Here is a 14,375-nt window from a genome sequence, read left to right as displayed (position 1 = left end):
AAGGCTTCGCCTATAGATAATTACACCTTTACAGTAACCCTGTGGTAAATACTATTATTTTCCCCTCTTTACAAATGAAGAAACTGAAGCTTAGAGAAATTAAGAAACTTACTCAGACTCACATAGCTCGAAAGTGGAGGGTGGGGAGTGGATTGAGCCTAGGCCACGTGGCTTCAGAGCCCAAGATTTCAAGAGCTATGCTACATAGTAATCTGATGAAACTCATTCATACCAGGATGTGAATGACTGACAGGTGACTGTCCTTGGAAATTAAATCTCTTTCATAATCTTGCATCGTAGAGAAGGAGTTTCAGAATCCAAAAGCAGGGTTCTAGACAGGGTGGCTTGTCTTCTAGGCTCTCTTAGATTATATTGTACAGATTACCAGAAGTTCTAACTCTTTGTGTATTAAGAAAAGAAAAGCTAAAGTTTGTCAGCGAGTTTCAAAGAGCTCGTGAATAAAAGAAAGAGGAGAGGTAGTAGGCAGAGTTGATTTTTGGTTTTTGGTTTTGTAGGGAGAGAAAGATCTGTGTCTACTTGAAGGCAGAGGAAAAGCTGCAATAGAGACGGAACCCCCAGAGGTACACAAGAGAGAGGAGACATTTGGGGAGCCTGAAAATAATCAGGAGGTAGTAGGATCTGCAAATATTCAGGAGGTAGCAGGATCTAATGCATGGCAGAGGGTTGAGATTTTCACTCTGCTGAGCAGGGTAAACCTTTTCCTGAGTGCAGAGGGAAGGTAGAGGGATAAAGGAGGGGACACGTGTGTGTTAAAGTGACAAACCAGGAGGAGGAAGGAAGAGCAAGATGATCACCTTGGTGCTTGGCAAGAAAATGAGGAGAGTTTCTCTTCTGCCATTAGGGTGGAAAGAGCAGTTGTGAATTAGGAGGCTCAAGCAGGAAACAGTACAAATAGATCACGAGCAGATCTCTAGAGAGAAGATCTGCAGTGGGAGGGATGGAGTTGAAGCTTGTCATTGCAAGACTGCAGTGTTCCGTGATGTTTCTTCCTTTTTCCATCCTAACACTAATGAGAACTCAGCAATCCCTGGCTGGGTCCAACGGTGCCATCTCCTCTCATTGTCCCTGTGATCTCTGCCATTCTCTTGGTCTCTTCGAAGGCAACCTGAGCAACAGCCCCGATGTACTGTGAACACATTTTCCTAAAGAATTTTTCCAAGTCACAAGAAGTCCCAAGTCAGTGTCACCAAGAGGATCTCCTTCACCTGCCACTTTAGGAACACTTAAAACATAATGGCAGACAAAACCGTGTCCTGGAAACCTGAGCCTTTGGACATTTACAGGATAAGGGCTATCCCTCACTGGGTTTCTTTCTGATATTTTAGGAGATGGGGAAGAAGATGAAGGTGATGAAGACAGGTTGGACAATGCAGTCAGGGGCCCTGGGCCCAAGGGGCCAGTTGGGACGGTGTCGGAAGCTCAGCTTGCTCGGAGGCTCACCAAAGTAAAGAACAGCCGGCGGATGCTGTCAAATAAGCCACAGGACTTCCAGGTAGCAACGGCCTGGCGTTCTGCTTCTTTGTTTAATCTTTATATTGCCCATCTTCTGGCAATTGCAGTGATGTTTCAGTGGACCTATTCCAATGGACAATGGCTCAACCGGTAAAGAGAGATGTCAGTGTATAAACCCAGTAAGAAAAGCTCTCCATCTTTCTTCTGCAGGCACAAGTGGGTTTAGTCTAGCCAGCTGATGGTCTCCAGAGAAATAAAACTATAATTCTCCTTCCCTTTGGCAGAAGGAAAGAGCTAATCAAAGAATAGAAGCGCAAATACTGTGTTTTTCGCAGCTCTGGGCCCTGTCTTAGATTTGGAAGGCAGCTATGGAGTTAGTTCATCACTAGGCTCAGCAAGACCAGGTGCATGACTGGAGTCTGAGCAGTGACCTCCACCTGCCCTGCCCTTTCCCAGGCCGGCTTTGAATGATTTCATCCCTACAGCTGCTCTTGGTCTCTATAACCCAACCCCAGTTCCCATCTTGGGAATGACCCTAGGTGGCTCCACCCAATTGGTAGCACCTGGTATAGCACAAAGCTGCCCTGGCCTGGTGTTAGCAATCCTAATAGGTGAAGGAAATGAAGCAACACCTGAGGATCCTAAGGATCCCACGTGCTGGGAAAGGTTGGGTAACCATCCCCCTTCTGTGCTGCAGATCCGCGTCCGAGTGATTGAGGGCCGACAGTTAAGTGGTAACAACATAAGGCCTGTGGTCAAAGTTCACGTCTGTGGCCAGACACACCGAACAAGAATCAAGAGAGGAAACAACCCTTTTTTTGATGAGGTAAAGGGGTTGAGAGGGCATGTTTCTGCTCATGAGTCCCACTGGGGAGGGAAACACGGGAGCAGCTTCACTGGTGAAGACACCACTGAGTTCCAAGTAGAGATCACAGGAACAAAACTAGGTGTGACCATGTGAACGCATGGCAGGGTCTTGGAAAAAGCCCTGGAGTTTAAGCTTCATGGTAAACCCACTTCTGCTATTGGAAAAGGAGAAATAGGTAAGTAACAAATATAGCTTTTTTTTTTTTTTGAGATGGAATTTCGCTCTTGTTGCCCAGGCTGGAGTGCAGTGGCGTGATCTCGGCTCACTGCAACCTCCACCTCCGGGGTTCAAGTGATTCTTCTGCCTCAGCCTCCCAAGTCGCTGGGATTACAGGCATGCACCACCACACCTGGCTAATTTTATATTTTCAGTAGAGGTTTCACTATGTTGGTCAGTCTGGTCTCGAACTCCTGAACTCAAGTGATCCACCCGCCAACAAAGTGCTGGGATTACAGGCATGAGCCACCGCGCCCGGCCAGCATTTATTTAAATAAAATTGTTCACTTGGGACAATCTAAAAGATATCTAGCTTTTAGATATCTAAAAGCTAAATGATGTGAAGATCCAAGGCTAAGCAGGTATGGGGGTACACACCTGTAATCCCAACACTCAAGAGGCTGAGACGGGAGGAGTGCTTGAGCCCAGATTTTCAAGACCAGCCTGGGCAATATAGTGAGATGCCTTTAAAAAAAGGAAAATTACCTGGTCCCCTCTGTCAGTGGTTCTCAGAGATGCTGTTGCCTTTCTGGTGTTTTTGTGATAACTTCTTGATGATCCCTTCGACCCTTATGAGAGAGGACATGATGTCTCCTAAATCTACCTTTGCTTATTCTAATTAGCAGGGTGTCTCTGAGGGACAACTCTCGTGACTAATCCAGTTTTTTAGAGGTGTCAAAACGTACTTGGCTGCAAAAATAATATATGTTAAAGGAAAGCAGTTATTAGCACACAGGGGCTTTGTTTGTTTTGCCCCCCATACTGATAAATTTTTTTTTTTTTTTTTTTTTGAGACAGAGTCTGGCTCTGTCGCCCAGGCTGGAGTGCAGTGGCGTGATGTTGGCTTACTGCAAGCTCTGCCTCTTGGGTTCACGCCATTCTCCTGCCTCAGCCTCCCGAGTAGCTGGGACTACAGGCGCCCGCCACCACGCCCAGCTAATTTTTTTTTTTTTTGTATTTTTAGTAGAGACGGGGTTTCACCATGTTGGCCAGGATGGTCTCGATCTCTTGACCTCGTCATCCACCCACCTCGGCCTCCCATAGTGCTGGGATTACAGGCGTGAGCCACCACACCCGGCCTTTTTTTTTTTTTTTTTTTTTTTTTGAGACAGAGTCTCTGTTGCCAAGGCTGGAGTGTGGTGGTGCAATCTCAGCTCATTGCAACCTCCACCTCCCAGGCTAAGGCAATCCTCTCTCACCTCAGCCTCGCAAGTAGCTGGGACTACAGGCACACACCACCACGCTCAGCTAATATTTGTATTTTTAGTAAAGATGGGGTTTTGCCATGTTTCCCAGGCTGGTCTCAAACTCCTGGCCTCAGGTGTTCCACCTACCTTGGCCTCCCAAAGTGCTGGGATTACAGGCATGAGCCACTGCGCCCTGCCTCCCATACTGAGAACTTAGCCTGTTCTACTGCCCTCTTTTATAACACTCCTCAAAAATACATGATACCTTGACAATCATCTCAAATGCCACAAAACTCCATGACTGGGCTGTGGGGAGAAATGATATATTTAGGGAACTTTTCAGAGTCTTGGCCAACTGTGCTGAGGAGACACATTTCTGGGATTCCTCAGGCCTATGTCTCCTGCTCTGTTCTCCAGCCCAGGCCTGTCTTACCACACTACCTCTTCATTCCCTACGGCTCTAATCCCAGCTCTGGCGTTTGTCCTTTTTTTTTTCCTACTTCTTTATTCAGAAAAGAAATGATTTCTTCTATGCCGCGTTTCTATTTCTTCCTCTTCGTTCAAACTGGCTTCCAGCTCTGCAGAAGGTCCTATTTTCTTCTCACCTCTAACCTCTAACCTCTCCCCTCAAAGGAATCGCAGACGACAGCAGGCAGCCAAGTACAGTAGTATACACATTCTCATGAGAGGTAGGGGCTGCACAGAGATGGGGCACTGGAAATGGACTTCAGGGAAGGCAGAGAGATTCACGTTGGAGGGCAAGACTGGATGGGTGGGGAGGAGGCAAGATGCTGGATTACTTGGGCCTAACGCGTAAACCCTGTCTATGCATTGATAATGCAGGCTTCCTGTTGACTCAGCTGCATTCCCAGGAGCCCAGCAAACATCTCCACCTTCCTCAGAATTTTCCCATTTTAATGAGTTTGAGGGGGATTAGACCTCTTGGCAAAAGAGAAGTCCAGTACATTAATCGATAAAAAAATTTTACGGGATAGGAGAAACAAAAGTAAGATGATAAAAACAAATATATATATATATATATATATATATATAAAAGAGGTTTACTAAAAAAATTTCTAGCCTGGCCAGGCGTGGTGGCTCACGCCTGTAATACTGGCACTTTGGGAGGCCGAGGTGGGTAGATCATTGGAGATCAGGAGTTCAAGACCAGCCTGGACAACATGGTGAAACCCCGTCTCTACTAAAAATACAAACAATTAGCCGGGTGTGGTGGCACACACCTGTAGTCCCAGCTACTCAGGAGGCTGAGGTAGGAGAATTGCTTGAACCTGGGAGGCGGAGGTTGCAGTGAGCCAAGATTGGGCCACTGCACTCCAGCCTGGGTGACAGAGCGAGACTCTGTCTCACAACAAAAAATTAGCCTGGCATGGTGATGGGTGGCTGTAATCCCAGCTACTCGGGAGGTTGAGGCAGGAGAATTGCTTAAAGCCTGGAGGCGGAGGTTACAGTGAGCCAAGATCGTGCCACTGCACTCCAGCCTGGGCAACAGAGAGAGACTCCGTCAAAAAAAAAAAAAAAAAAAAAAATCCTAGCCTGTATATATCTTTTTAACCAAGTAATATTAAACTTGTTATCACCAATAATAGGAACAAAAATGATGTGGTGTCCTCATGTGAGATAATGGAAGTAATCAACATCACCTGTGTCAAGTCTTGTCAAATGGCCAATTTGCATCCGACAGTGAGGAAACATTCACACAAATCTAGACTGTGGGATATTCTACAAAACAACGGGCATGGTGGCTCACGCCTGTAATCCCAGTACTTTGGGAGGCCAAGCCAGGAGGATCACTTGAGGCCTGTAGTTCAAGACCAGCCCGAGCAACATAGTGAAACTTCATCTCTATTTAAAGAAGAACAAAAGGCAAGAAAAAACACAAGAAACAAAAAAGGAAATAGCACTGTTCTATATTTTTATATAGCTTCCTTTTGGAAGCTGAAGAGACTCAAAAACGAAATGCAACGTATGATTCTTGCATAGATCCTAGATTTCTTTGAAAAGCTAAAGTTTTTTTGTAGGGATGATTGGAGAAATTTGAAAATTGACTCTGTTAGATGTTAAATTTCTTGGTTATGATAATGGTGTTGCAATTCTATAGGAGGATGTCCTTGCTCTTAGGAGATGCATGTAAATGTATTTTGAAGGGGTGAAGTGTCATGATCTCTAAAGCTTTCTTGCAAATAGTTCAGTTTAAAAAAGAGATAAAGCAAATGTCCAAAAATGGAACAATTGGTGAACATAGGTGAAAGGTGGTATTTATTTTACCATTCTTTCAGCTGTCCTGTAGATTAGAAATATTCCTAAGTAAAAAGTTGGAGGAAAAAGTCTCAGTTGGAGTAAGTGTTCAATCTTTTAGGATTAACATTTATTAGCCTAACATGGTTAAACCTCCTATATACCTAATATTCATATCCCAAGAATCAACCTTCTTAAAATTAGCTTTTACAATGTGGTCAATATTGACTTTGCTGAGGCACTAACTTAATCTAATGGGCAAAATTGTCTTGAAAGGTGCTTTCTTGGAGTAAAATTAGAGTCACTAGACACTAATAGAGCTAAAGATATTAGAGAAATTTAAAACACACTCCAGGTCATGCCAGCTCTAAGCGCTCATTTTGATAAGCATTGCAGCATGAAGTCACCTTGGATCTTTTTCCCTTTTTTTTTTTTTTTTTTTTTGAGATGGCCTCTCACTATATTGTCCTGGCTGGTCTTGAACTCCTGGGCTCAAGCACTCCTCCCATCTCAGCCTACTGAGTGTTGGGATTACAGGGGTGTACCCCGATACCTGCTTAGCTTTGGATCTTTACATTATTTAGCTTTTAGATATCTAGCCCCAGGTGAACAATTTTCTTTAGTTAAGTAAATGCTATATTTGTTACTTACCCTTTTCTCCTTTTTCCAACATGAAGAAGTGGGTTTACCATGAAGCTTAAACTGCAGGGCTTAAACTCCAGGCCTTGCCATGTGTTCACATGGTCAAACCTAATTTTGAATTTGTGTTTTGCATTTTTTAGGAGGGCCCCCAAAATTATAGTATCAGATTCCCCTAACCCGAATCCCCTGTTAACATTTAAACATCTGCTCTATTGTTTTGGCAGTTGTTTTTCTACAATGTCAACATGACCCCTTCTGAATTGATGGATGAGATCATCAGCATCCGGGTAAGGGTCAGCAAGTAGGAAGGTACTGCTCACTCACTGCCAGGCAAAGCCAATCATTTCTTCACTACTCTTCTTTCTTCCAGGTTTATAATTCTCACTCTCTGCGGGCAGATTGTCTGATGGGGGAATTTAAGGTGAGTGACAACAGTCTGCTTCATTCAACTTACAGAAAGATGAGAACTTTCATAATAGAAATCTGATTCCTATGTACGCATCTTGGTGGCATCTTGGGAATGTGTAAGGGTTCAGCATGATGACACTTGCTGAAGGCTGCTTGGGGCTTGTCTATTTCCAAAGTATAACAGTGAACAGAGCTCTCAAAGCAAGATGCCCTGAAGCTGCCATATCAGGGCCCTTCCCAGGGTTGTATCTGGATGGAAGCAAATCCACTGCCACAAAGGGAAGGGGTGTTGACCATGGCAAGAAGTCCACCATCTACCTCCACTTACTGGGGGCCCCAAAGCTCCATCTGCAAAGCCAATTATGGTAAATTCAGAGTGTGAAAGGAAAGCCAAACAAGGCAAGAGGTTCAGGGTGCTTCTATAAGTAGCTCTCACTGGAATGAAAGGACAAATACTTGGTTGGCTTCTTCCCAGCAATTCTACATGGAATAGGCTGCCTCTCCAAGAAAGGAGCACCAGTCACTAGAAGTCCTAGAGGATGATCTGGGTCAGGCAGACCTGTGTTCATACCCTGTCTGCCACCAAGTAGCCACATGTCCCAGAGGAACTCAATCTCTCTGATCCTTAGTTTCTTCATCTGTAAAATGGGATCATTGAGAAAATTAAATGAGATAGTATGTGTAAAGCACCTAGTACAGCACCTGGCACATTGAAGTGCCCAGTCAATGGTTATATTAATAGTAGCATTAGCTGGAGGAGAAGGAGGAGGAGGAGGAGAACTGGACAGGAAATTGGGCCAGGTGAATTTCTGTAGGATGACCAATGGTCCCACTTTGCCTGGGACTTTAGTGGTAAAACTGAGGATAACCCAGGCAAACTGGGTCATATTGGTCACTCTGCTTCTGTGGTCCCTTCCAGCCCTAAGACTAGCTCATTCATTCAATAGTGACTTACTGAGGGTCTTCCATGTGCCACACATCAGACAAGGCACTGGGGATACAGAGAGGATAAGACGGAAATGTTGGGTCTCAAGGAAATTTAAGTGTAATCAAGACATGATATTTAAATATAATGATGGCTTCTTTAAAGTGACTAGACTGATTTTAAAATCTACTTAGACTACTTTCGATTATTGTTTTCCCAGATTGATGTTGGATTTGTTTATGATGAACCTGGTAAGTAATGTTCTCCCCATCAATATGAAGTCTTAAATTCATTCCTTCTAACTCTGAAGATGATTCTAAGAATCAAGACAATTTGGGGGGGATCAAAGAATTAAAGTTAAAGGAATTTTTTAAAAAATATTTTCTTAATGAGGGAGAGGAGAGGATACTTAGTGGGAATAAATAACAGTAGCTTAGAAAAAATGTCTAATTTTTTATCTTAACATTCAAAATAGATGATTTCTATGTTTTGTGAGGATATTTTGATCTTATCAAAATTAAATTATAAAACTCGTTGGTACAACTTAGAGAGTCTTGTTTGAGTTACACGAGGACAGAATGGTGGGGGTGGGGTGTAGGGAGAGTACAAAACAGAAGACGTGAAAGTGGACACTCATCTGGGGAATTTGGTGTGTCGTGAAGAGGCTTCCAAGAAAATGCAGCTTATCTTATGGCAGAGGAATCACAGACTTATCAGTACCTTTTTAGCATGTCCATTTCCTTTTACTCCTTCTCTATTTTAGGCCATGCTGTCATGAGAAAGTGGCTTCTTCTCAATGACCCGGAAGATACCAGTTCAGGTTCTAAAGGTTATATGAAAGTCAGCATGTTTGTCCTGGGAACCGGAGATGAGCCTCCTGTGAGTCCCTACATTCTCTACTTTCTACACTTCTCACTAAAAAAGAAGGCCAAGAGTTAAGCATGTGGGCATGGGTAATTGTGAAATGGAGCACAGCTTCCCGTCAATACCCTCAGATTCCCCCTATTCTTCAGAAGCTGTTCTTTTCTTCATCATGGAATTATTGTTCTAGCTTACTTAAACTCTTATCTGATGTCTATGAGTGAGCATTTAATTGAGAATCGATGAATGTGTTTTTACAACGTCCTTGCCTCATTAGAAAGACTGCTTTTATCTAGAAAGCATGACCTACTTGCAGAATTAGGCATTGCTACCTAAATAGTTAGTGATTATTCTAGGAAACTGGGTGGCAAACTGCAGAATATAAGTGGCCAGAGAGAAGTTGAAGGGACATCAGGATCACACACACACACACACACACACACACACACACACACACGCACAGGCTCTTACTATTTGGTGCTCATAAAATGACAGAATGATACAAAAACATGAGCATTGATTTTGTGGAGCAGTTTTGAGGTTGAAGGAAAACTGGTGGCTGATGGCAGGCTGAACTCTTAAGCCCCAAACACAGGAAATCTTAATGGAAACGATTCTGAATGGTTTCATTTTATAAGCATTAATTTGGCTTTTTCCAAGTGCTGCTTTTCTGTATGTATAATTTAAATCATGTGCCCCTAATAGCCTGAGAGACGAGATCGTGATAATGACAGTGATGATGTGGAGAGTAATTTGTTACTCCCTGCTGGCATTGCCCTCCGGTGGGTGACCTTCTTGCTGAAAATCTACCGAGCTGAGGACATCCCCCAGAGTATGTACTGATTTAATCTTGCCCCAGAATTGTTGATTATGTGTGTGATGAAATGTGTTAAAAATCAAACTTTAATAGTGATTCGTGTCCCTATCGTATGTTTTTCTTCTGAAAGGGCTTCATGGGCTTATTTTCATTCATTCTGGCCCAGTTGAAAGCTACCTGAGCAGGCTCATGGCACAGCTAGTTGGTTGCTGATCATGTTCCTTGTTGAGTACCTGCCTTTGGCCCATTTGACTCTCTCTCTTGCTATTCTATATCTTCTCTTTATTCTAGAGGATGCTAAAGAGATATGAGCAGTCAGCACTTCCAACCCCTTTTATCCCAAATGAAAATGTGAACTGTTATTATCAAATCAAGGTGTTTGCTATCCAGCTATAAAAAAAAAATAGCAGAAATTAGCTGGGCATGGTGGCGGGTGCCTATAATCCCAGCTACCTGGGAGGCTGAGGCATGAGAATCACTTGAACCCAGGAGGCGGAGGTTGCCGTGAGCCACACCACTGCACTCCAGCCTGGGCAACAGAGTGAGACTCCATCTCAAAAAAAAAAAAAAAAAAAAAAACATGCTGAGCAAAGGGTAGTAATGTCCCAATGACTAGAAGTCTGCCACTATTGTATTATGAAATATATTCAGCAAGAGACTGGTTGCATTTAAGGGATCGCTTCTAGTGATTCCATTTATAGGAACTAGTGTGGTTATCCCTCTGTCACTGCTGATGGCCCAGCCTCCTATTTGCCTTGCTGGGCCTGTCTGGTTCCTGCTGGGCTCTGGGACATGGGACCCTTCTCCAAGTCCCCAGGAGGCTGCACTCACTATACAGGCCATGGATCTCTTCAGGATTTGCTGCTTTTCTTGGGAATCCTTTTCCTCTTTTAAGATCCTATGGTCTTAAAAGATAGTATTGTAGGGCCTCCCCATACCCACCTTTCTCTCAAAAATGTGTCAAATGGGCTGGAGGCAGTGGGTCATGCCTATAATCCCAGCACTTTGGAAGGCCAAGGTAGGAGCACTGCTTGAGGCCAAAAGTTCAAGACCAGCCTGGGCAACATAGCAAGACTACTGTCTCTATTTAAAAAAAAAAAAAAGAAGAAGAAGAAGAAGAAAGAAATACATAAAATAAGGTAAATTAAAATCCTGATCTCTATTTACTTTTTAGCTTAACTATAGATTGTAGTTGATTAAATATATTATTTGTGATTATGTCAAATTTTCTTGAATTTCTCTGAAACAGACTAGGACTATATCATTTTGACCTAGAGCACCTTTCTCCCAATTGAAAGCAGGCCTGAGTTTGAGAATCATCTTTTACTCTCACTGAATGAACTTTGTTGTATTTTTTTTCCTCCATAAAAGATCAAGTTTTTGTTTTATTTTATTTTATTTTGAGATAGAGCCTCACTCTGTCACCTAGGCTGGAGGCTGGCATATACTGGCTTGATCTTGGCTAACTGCAAGATTCAAGTGATTCTCATGCCTCAGCCTCCCAAGTGGCCGGGATTACAGGCATGTGCCACCACACCTGGCTAATTTTGTTTGTTTGTTTTGAGATGGAGTCTTGCTCTGTCACCAGGCTGGACTGCAGTGGTGTGATCTTGGCTCACTGCAATCTCCGCCTCCCAGGTTCAAGCAGTTCTCCTGCCTCAGCCTCCCGAGTAGCTGGGATTACAGGCGCGTGCCACCACACCCAGCTAATTTTTGTATTTTCAATAGAGAAGGGGTTTCACCATGTTGACCAGGATGGCCTTGCTCTTCTGACCTCATGATCCACCAGCCTTGGCCTCTCAAAGTCCTGGGATTACAGGCATGAGCCACTGCGCCTAGCCTGTTGCAACTATTTTGATGTATAAGAGAACTTTTAAAATTTTGCCAAATTTCTGGGAATTGAATTTAATTTCTGCTGTATAACTATTACCTTCCAGTGGATGATGCCTTCTCACAGACAGTAAAGGAAATATTTGGAGGCAATGCAGATAAGAAAAATCTCGTGGATCCTTTTGTAGAAGTTTCCTTTGCTGGAAAAAAGGTTTGTACATGATCTAAATGCAGATGCTGCTAGTAATAAATATCTAAAACTACTGTGCTTTCCTTGGAGTGAATTCCTGCTTACTCTTTGTTAAAATAGCCCCCTGATGAGCCAGGCACTCTGAGGGAACACAGATTATCTGAGTCTGAACACGCCAGACTTCTCCACAGGTTTATTTTGGAGTGGAAAGTATGCAGAACACAAATTAGAAAATTCAATCTTTTGAGAGATTAAAATAGGGAAGGCTACCACTGAATTTCTGGAATTGCTTTTCAGGTCCAAACGTTATCTTAACCTTAGGCAAGCTCTCTGGCCAGCCACACCCATCCCTGGTAAATGTTGTAGGACAGAGACCCCCCCCCAGTGCCCTGTTGCCCCTTCCTGTCATGTTTCTCACCTTCCATGCCCCAGTAAACTGTTGAAACCAGAGAATGGGTCAGGGAAGCCCCATCCCACTCCCCTGAAAATATCTGGGAGACTCTTGGTGTAGGGACAGCTATAACCACCACTTTTACCTACAGAGATGGTCAAAGATTGGAGAGTTGAGAGTTGGGTGAGATTCTACAGTAGAATAATAGCACATCATGGACAGTTATAGACAAAAAGAACTAGCATCTTTTATGTGTTCGAACCATATAATTATGAAAGCAAGATTCGGCAAACCACATACACATACACATATGACTGGTGCTTTTTTCTAAAAGATTCAGTGGGTGTGGTAGAAAAGCCTTCAGCTCTGGGGCAAAATGAGGCCTGAATTAAATTCAGGCTTTACCCCACTTCATAGGCAGGCAAATCGTTTACCCTCTGAGTTTCCATTTCCTGAACTATAAAGGGAGATAATAACAATCACAGGATTGTTGAGAGGTTTGATTCATTCAAAAAGTCATTAAGTACCAGATTCTGTCCCATGTGCTGGGATATAGAAACGAACACATGGGAATAGAAGAGACAGACAATAAACAAGCAAACAAGAAACTGAATAATTTTAAATGGTGCCCAGTGCTACAAAGAAAACAAAGCAGGGACAAGAAGTGATTGGTGCAGGGGAGGAGTGTTTATCCAGGTTATCAGGTGAGACTCCTGGAGAAAGTGACAGTTGAGCAGAGGCCTGGATATGCAGAGATTGGGGAGGGAGGCATCCAGGCAGGGAGAAGGGCGATGGAAGGGCCCCAAGGAAGAAAATGTTAGCAGGGAAGGCCTGCCCATGTGGCTGCGGTAGAGCCAGCAAGCGGGGAAAACTAGGAGGTCAGTGAGAAGTAGGGTTGGGACAGTAGGGCTTCATCAGCCCAGGGAAGGATTGGGGCTTTATTTGAAGTGTACTTTGAGGGCCCCCTGAAGATGTTACACAGAAGTGACATGAAAGTCAGGAGGCAAGAGAGGGTGTGGAGTTCAGATAGACAACCGCAGGTGTCCTGGGGAGAAACATTTCAGGATCAGCTTGAAGACATTCCAGGATCTGCTTGAAGACGGAAGTGTCAGGGTGTGGCTGATTCTGGTTCTGAGCCTGACCACCTGAATGAAGAGCGATGGAAAGACTGGAACAAGAGTCAGTTTGGGGTAGAGGGCAGGGAGGCTGGCGGGCAGGGTCAAAAGATCTGTCTGGATGTGTTAATGGTAGATGCTTCCCAAACGGTATGTAACAAATGCTCTATCAACCTTATCTCTTGCTTTTTTACATTAATCTAATGTTAGAAGCCTGACAATTGAAAACTAATTAAAAAAAGGTTAAAAGCAAGCTCCTAGTGCCTCGAAACAGCAATGATTAATATTAAACCCATGTCATATTTTACAAATCATCAAGAAAAATAAAGTTTAACCAGGTTCCTAAGTATATAAGTAAACTGCTAAAGTCATAATCTAGTATGCATAGATTGTAAACTTTTAGAAATTAGAAACTTGAAAACCTACACTTTTGCTTTGGTGATTTTACAGGTTTGTACAAACATAATTGAGAAAAATGCAAACCCAGAGTGGAATCAGGTCGTCAATCTTCAGATCAAGGTTTGACTTTATTTTCTTTCTGAAAAAGTAAGAATACTTACTTAATAATTACTAAATCATTGAGAAATAACTACTTTTTTCTGTCTCATTTTTTTAGTTTCCTTCAGTGTGTGAAAAAATAAAACTAACAATATATGACTGGTGAGTTGAAAATACGTATGTGTCTAATTCAACATAAAATAAACATTGGATATTGTGAAACATTACTCTGGATTGTCTCTTTCTGGTATTTTGCTTTCCTTCCAGAGGAGAGGATAAATTGCTCCTGGAACTGGGCGTTTCTTAAAACAAAATTTAATAATAGTGTTACTGCAAAAAAAGCTTCGATTATTTCGGTTCAACTGCTCATAAACAAAAGAAGGGGAACGTGCTGAAAATGCCCCAAGATAAGAAATCAGGGATTTAATTATCATTAGGCTGTCCAGAATAGACTTCAGAAATACAGTCAAGCATTTCTTGGGAAGAATCACCAAAACATTCTGAGAGCAATTCATTGTTATTGTTTAAAAAGAAAATGGTAAAACTACCTCAATGAAGGCAAGGAAAAGTCCTTGAAATGTTCTGATAGAATTTTTAGTAGACCAGCCTTCTAGCACTGATTGGCCATAACAAGACCATTCTTGGAATGTTCTAGTTGGATGTAGCATTCAGCAGGCACCCTTAGCTCCCTGACAGTG

The 14,375-nt window shown here is 43.0% G+C and overlaps 1 protein-coding gene across 10 annotated transcripts in view, besides 1 other annotated feature; it reads left to right on the top strand.

Annotated features, from left to right (window-relative positions):
* The window catches only part of MYOF (myoferlin), a 175,906-nt gene that overhangs the window by 71,249 nt on the left and 90,282 nt on the right, over window positions 1-14,375 (top strand). For all 10 annotated transcript variants that reach the window (XM_047425049.1, NM_133337.3, XM_005269694.6 and 7 more), the window contains 10 exons: window positions 1,347-1,513; window positions 2,171-2,299; window positions 6,867-6,929; window positions 7,013-7,063; window positions 8,196-8,226; window positions 8,739-8,854; window positions 9,542-9,668; window positions 11,591-11,694; window positions 13,630-13,698; window positions 13,796-13,839. In XM_047425049.1, the coding sequence (XP_047281005.1) occupies window positions 1,347-1,513; window positions 2,171-2,299; window positions 6,867-6,929; window positions 7,013-7,063; window positions 8,196-8,226; window positions 8,739-8,854; window positions 9,542-9,668; window positions 11,591-11,694; window positions 13,630-13,698; window positions 13,796-13,839 (901 nt within the window). The remainder of the gene's footprint in view (window positions 1-1,346; window positions 1,514-2,170; window positions 2,300-6,866; window positions 6,930-7,012; window positions 7,064-8,195; window positions 8,227-8,738; window positions 8,855-9,541; window positions 9,669-11,590; window positions 11,695-13,629; window positions 13,699-13,795; window positions 13,840-14,375) is intronic.
* Window positions 3,881-4,380: an enhancer, noted in NCBI's record as "H3K27ac hESC enhancer chr10:95166463-95166962 (GRCh37/hg19 assembly coordinates)". NCBI's record gives its function as "activates a minimal SCP1, AML or CMV promoter by ChIP-STARR-seq in primed H9 embryonic stem cells {active_cell/tissue: H9 hESC(primed)}" and the evidence as "EXISTENCE:reporter gene assay evidence [ECO:0000049][PMID:30033119]".

The sequence above is a fragment of the Homo sapiens genome, chromosome 10 (genome assembly GCF_000001405.40).
Source record: "Homo sapiens chromosome 10, GRCh38.p14 Primary Assembly".
Lineage (NCBI taxonomy): Eukaryota > Metazoa > Chordata > Mammalia > Primates > Hominidae > Homo > Homo sapiens.
The sequence above is the reverse complement of the archived record's forward strand: the minus strand, read 5'-3'. Positions and strand labels throughout refer to the sequence as shown.